Source organism: Homo sapiens, chromosome 12 (assembly GCF_000001405.40).
Source record: "Homo sapiens chromosome 12, GRCh38.p14 Primary Assembly".
In the NCBI taxonomy this organism is placed as follows: Eukaryota; Metazoa; Chordata; class Mammalia; order Primates; family Hominidae; genus Homo; species Homo sapiens.
In genome coordinates this window covers 12,566,063-12,572,062 of record NC_000012.12, presented here as the reverse complement: position 1 = coordinate 12,572,062, position 6,000 = coordinate 12,566,063, and the positions used below count along the sequence as shown (strand labels likewise).

Sequence of the window (6,000 nt, the reverse complement as noted above, 5' to 3'; positions counted from 1 at the left end):
TGGTTCTCTAACTCGTACAGTTGTTTCCTGTCTTGCTTTACGTCTGCCCCACCTAACCATTCTCTGTATGGAAAAGTGTGAATCTGATCTTTCTTGTTTAAAAATTTTTCAATGGCTCCTCCATTGCTTGCCTTGAAAAAAGTCCAAATCCTTTGATATTTTAGACAGGGTTTCACTGTGTTGCCCAGCCTGGAGTGCAGTGGCACAATCACAGCTCACTGCAGCCTTGACTTCCTGGGCTCAAGTGATCCTCCTGCCTCAGTCTCTGAGTAGCTGGGACTACAAGCATGTGCCTCCCCAACTGGCTAATTTTTTTTTGTTTTGTTTGTTTGTTTTTTGAGACAGAGTTTCACTTTTGTTGCCCAGGCTGGAGTGCAATGGTACGATCTCGGCTCACTGAACCTCTGCCTCCCGAGTTCAAGCAATTCTCCTGCCTCAGTCTCCCGAGTAGCTGGGATTACAGGCATGCGCCACCATGCCTGGTTAATTTTTTGTATTTTTTTAGTGGATACAGGGTTTCTCCCAGGCTGATCTCAAACCCCCAACCTCAGGTGATCTACCCTCCTCGGCCTCCCAAAGTGCTGGGATTACCTTACAGGTGTGAACCACCATGCCCAGCCACACCTGGCTAATTTTTTTAAAGTTTTTTTGTAGAGACGAGGCCTGGCTACGTTGCCCAGGCTGTTCTCGAACTCCTGAGCCCAAGTGATCTGCCTGCCTTAGCCTCCCAAAGTGCTGGGATTACAGGTGTGAGCCACTGTGTCCCACTGGCAAGTTAACTGTAAACTGAGAAGATTAATAGTTATGAGAATTAAATGAGGTAATATTCAATAAATGCTAGCTATTATTTATTATGATTAATATCCTCAGTCATGTCTTTGAAAATAGTACTATCATTTCCTTAAGATAAATTCTTTTTTTTTTTTTTTGAGACAGAGTCTAGCTCTAGCTCTGTCACCCAGGCTGTAGTGCAGGGGAGCCATCTTGGTTCACTGGGCTCACTGCAACCTCTGCCTCCCGGGTTCAAGCAATTCTCCTGCCTCAGCCTCCCGAGTAGCTGGGATTATAGGCATCTGCCACCACTCCCGGCTAATTTTTGTATTTTTAGTAGAGAGAGGGTTTCACCATGTTGGCCAGGCTGGTCTCGATCTCCTGACCTCGTGATCCACCTGCCTTGGCCTCCCAAAGTGCTGGGATTACAAGTGTGAGCCACCGCACCCGGCCAAGATAAATTCGTAAAGTAGAATTGTTGGGTATGCATTTTTAAAGACTTTCATAAGCATATTGCCAAACTGCCCTCCAGAAGAGTTATACCTGTTTATATTCTCACCAGTGCTAATGAGAAAGTCTGTTTCTCCATATTGTTAACTCAACTGTGGGATTACCGGTTTTTAAAATAACTGCCAAATTGATAAGTGAAAAATTGTCTAGTTTTTATAACTTATTGAGTCTGTTTAACAAATCTGCTGCAGAAAGATCAGATATAGACTGATAATATAGAGTGTTGGCCGGGCTGGTCTCGAACCCCTGACCTCAGGTGTCAGACTGGCCAAAATGGTGAAACCCCGTCTCTACTAAAAATACAAAAATTACCCAGGTGTGGTGGTGCGTGCCTGTAATCCCAGCTACTCAGGAGGCTGAGGCAGGAGAATCGCTTGAACCTGTGAGACGGAGGTTTCAGTGAGCTGAGATCGCGCCACTGCACTCCAGCCTGGGTGACAGAGCGAGACTGTCTCAAAAAAAAAAAAAAAAAAAAAGTGTTACTGCTATTTACTTTGTTTTGATTGTACATCTTAACATTCATGTTTTTCATCTCCTTCAGGACTGAGAACTTACACATTTTTGAACTCCTTTACTTCCCTCTTTCCTTCCAGTTCCTTAGGAATGAGCATGCACTTGTGTAATTGAGTTGAATAAAATTTAACACATATTTCCTATTAAACTTTAAAGCTCAATAGTCCAGTTTCTTTGTATACCTTTCCATGGGGAGCACAGAGTGCTGTGCTGAGTGTTGGTGACCTGTTTGGAATTCCTTTTTAGTCCCTAACTAGCTATACAACCTTGGGCAAGTCGTTTAACCTCTTTGGACCTTCATTTTCTTACATGTAATGTGAGATGGTACCAGGTAATTTCCTAGGTATCTTCTAGTTCTCACATCACGCAGGTTAACATTTTTCTTCCAAGAAGTTCCTTCCTACTTTGCTGTAAATATTGCCCTCCTCCAACATAGTGTCATCTCTGAGGCAGAACTTGCTTCTTTCTAGAACTGTAATTTGTTCAGTGTCATGAACCCTAAGATAACAGTAGCAGCTACTATCCCAGAAGTATAGCCAAGACTTTAATGTGAAGTAGGTCTTATTCACTTTTTTTGTGTGTGTGATAAAATCCTTTGAAAGTTTGTTGCAGCTGTGCATGGTGGTTCATGCCTGTAACCCCAGCACTTTGGGAGACTGAAGCAGGAGGATGGTTGAACCCAGGAGTTCAAAACCAGCCTGGGCAACAAAGCAAGACCCCATCTCTACAGAAAAAAAGTTTTATTTATTTATTTTTTATTTTTTTGAGACAGGGTCTCGCTCTGTCGCCCAGACTGGAGTGCAGTGGTGCGATCTCAGCTCACTGCAAGCTCCCGGGTTTACGCCATCCTCCTGCCTCAGCCTCCCGAGTAGCTGAGACTACAGGCGCCCGCCACCACACCCGGCTAATTTTTTGTATTTTTAGTAGAGACGGGGTTTCACCGTGTTAGCCAGGATGGTCTTGATCTCCTGACCTCATGATCCGCCCGCCTTGTCCTCCCAAAGCGCTGGGATTACAGGCATGAGCTACCGCACCCGGCCAAAAGTTTTAAAAATTAGCCAGGCATAGTGGTTTGCACCTGTAGTCCTAGTTACTTGGGAGGCTGAGGCAGGAGGATTACTTGAGCCCTGGAGGTTGAGACTGCAGTGAGCCATGATTATGTACTCAAGCCTCGGCAGTAGGAGACCTCATCTCATTAAAAAGGAAAAGAAAAGAAAATCTGTTGAAAGCTAGGGACCCACTCACAGAAAAACATGTATAAGCATATATACACAAAATTTTAGGGGGCTCTTAGACCCTCTGGAGCCCATCTATATACTCTCTAGGAATCCACAAATCCTAGGCTAAGAACATTTGACTTAGGAACATTCAAAGGATCCTTGGAGATTAACAAAATTGTCAAAAACTCTCTCTTCCTATTGGAAAAGGGAGCTGTTATATTACCTAAAAAATAGAGAATATTAAAACTGTTTTTGCTGCTGCAGCTGAAGCCATGCATATGCTCAGGCTTCAGAGGAAGTTTTCCTCTAATGTCTTTTGCTGTGGCAAAAAGAAGGTCTGGTTGGCTCCCAGAGACCAATGTTAACTCCCATCAGCAAATCCAGAAGCTGATCAAACATGGGCTGATCATCCGCAAGCCTGTGCCTGTCCATTCCCAGGCTCCTTGATGCCAGAAAACCTTGGACCATCGGAAGGGCAGGCACCTGGGCATAGGTAAGCAAGAAGGTACAGCCAATGCCCAAAGGCCAGGGAAGGTAACCTGGATAAGGAGAATGAGGATTCTGTGCCAGCTTCTTAGAAGATACTGTGAATCTAAGAAGACTGATTGCCACATGTATTACACTCTGTACCAGAAGGTGAAAGGGATTGTGTTCAAAAACAAGCGTATTCTCATGGAATTGTCCGCAAGCTGAAGGTAGACAAGTCCCGCAAGAAGCTCCTGGTGGACCAGGCTGAGGCCCACTGGCCTAAGACTAAGGAAGTGTGCAAACTTCATGACGAGTGCCTCCAGGCCAAGAAGGAGGAGATCATCAAGATGTTGTCCAAGGAGGAAGAGACCGAGAGATAAAGCTCCTCCTTTCTTGTCTATACATAGTGGCCTCAGTAATTACATAGACCATTCAAACAAAACAGGCTTTTATCTGCTTGAAAAAAAACCCAACTCTCTAAAACGCAACCTTTTATGCTTACTTAATTGCAAATGTCCTCTTCATAAATCAGATCATGTACTAACTGCTTAAATCTTTCAGAATAGAATCTGAACTCCATACACTATAAGGTACTACATAATCTGGCTCCTGCCCACCCTTGTTTTATACTTTTGTGCCCCACTGGCTTCCTTTGGCTCTGGGAACACACCAACTCTCTACAAGTCACTCTGTTTCTGCTGAACGGTCTTAGAGTGACCTGTTTTCTCTACCCTGACCACTTCCCCTGTTGCCATCCTTAAGGTCTCAGTTCAAATGTCCCCTCTTCATTTGAACTTCCCCCACCACCTTCACCCCTACCCCAAGTCACTCACTATCACCTCACCCAGTTTTTTTTCCCTGTGTAGTCCATCTTGTCACAGTCCAGGCCGTGGTTTTTGTTTATTGGCTTATTGTCTTCTCTCTCCACTTGAATGTTAGTTTCATGAGAGATAGGTAATCTTATTTATAACCATATTCCCAGAGCTAGGTGCAGTGCCTGGCACATAAGGGTAGTAGGCACTCAATCACTGTTTGTCAATGAATAAACTTCAGCCAGGGATGGATTAAGTAAGACCTTAAGAGGGTCTAAACACTAAGGATTATGGTGCTTCTCCCCCATATTTAATTCTAACCAGCAATTTTGGTGCTCCTTCCCCATATTTAACTCTAACTAAAAAACAGTACTAAACCACACACTTACATGTACTGAAGCAAAAATAGCTTCTTTCTAGATTATCTGATTGTAAACCTTGGACTCCCTGCCTTGCTGGTGCCCTAAGTGTATGTGCTCTTCCTCTGTCTTGGGGGAGTCTAGCACTCACTCAGTCCTCTAGATGTGTTGGACACTGTTTTAGTTTAAGATTGCTTATGACTACAAAAAACCTTGCTGGGATATTGATGAAAATTACGTTAACTCTATAGATCAATTTGGGAAGAAATGACATGTTTATTGATTCTTCCAATCCATGAATATAGTATGCCATTCCAATTATTTGTCTTCTTTAATTTCTTTCATCAGCATTTTATAATTTTCATCACACAGATGTTGTACATGTTTTGTTAGATTTATATGTAAATATTTCACGTTCTTTGGAGCAATTGTAAAATGGTTCTGTTTTTAATTTCTGTTTCCACATTTTTTATTATTATTTTTTATTTTTTATTATTTTTTTTTTATTGATCATTCTTGGGTGTTTCTCGCAGAGGGGGATTTGGCAGGGTCACAGGACAATAGTGGAGGGAAGGTCAGCAGATAAACAAGTGAACAAAGGTCTCTGGTTTTCCTAGGCAGAGGACCCCGCGGCCTTCCGCAGTGTCTGTGTCACTGGGTACTTGAGATTAAGGAGTGGTGATGACTCTTAACGAGCATGCTGCCTTCAAGCATCTGTTTAACAAAGCACATCTTGCACCGCCCTTAATCCATTTAACCCTGAGTGGACACAGCACATGTTTCAGAGAGCACAGGGTTGGGGGTAAGGTCACAGATCAACAGGATCCCAAGGCAGAAGAATTTTTCTTAGTACAGAACAAAATGAAAAGTCTCCCATGTCTACTTCTTTCTACACAGACACGGCAACCATCTGATTTCTCAATCTTTTCCCCACCTTCCCCCCCTTTCCATTCCACAAAACCGCCATTGTCATCATGGCCCGTTCTCAATGAGCTGTTGGGTACACCTCCCAGACGGGGTGGTGGCCAGGCAGAGGGGCTCCTCACTTCCCAGTAGGGGCGGCCGGGCAGAGGCGCCCCTCACCTCCCGGACGGGGCGGCTGGCCAGGCGTGGGGCTGACCCCCCCACCTCCCTCCCAGACAGGGCGGCTGGCCTGGCGGGGGCTGAGCCCCACCTCCTTCCCGGACTGGGTGGCTGCCGGGCGGAGACGCTCCTCACTTCCCAGACGGGGTGGCTGCCGGGCGGAGGGGCTCCTCACTTCGCAGACGGGGCGGCTGCCGGGCGGAGGGTCTCCTCCCTTCTCAGACGGGGTGGCTGGGCAGAGACGCTCCTCACCTCCCAGACGGG

At 45.2% G+C, this 6,000-nt stretch overlaps 1 pseudogene; it reads left to right on the top strand.

Moving 5' to 3' along the window:
• On the top strand, positions 3,265-3,939 carry RPL19P17 (ribosomal protein L19 pseudogene 17; annotated as a pseudogene).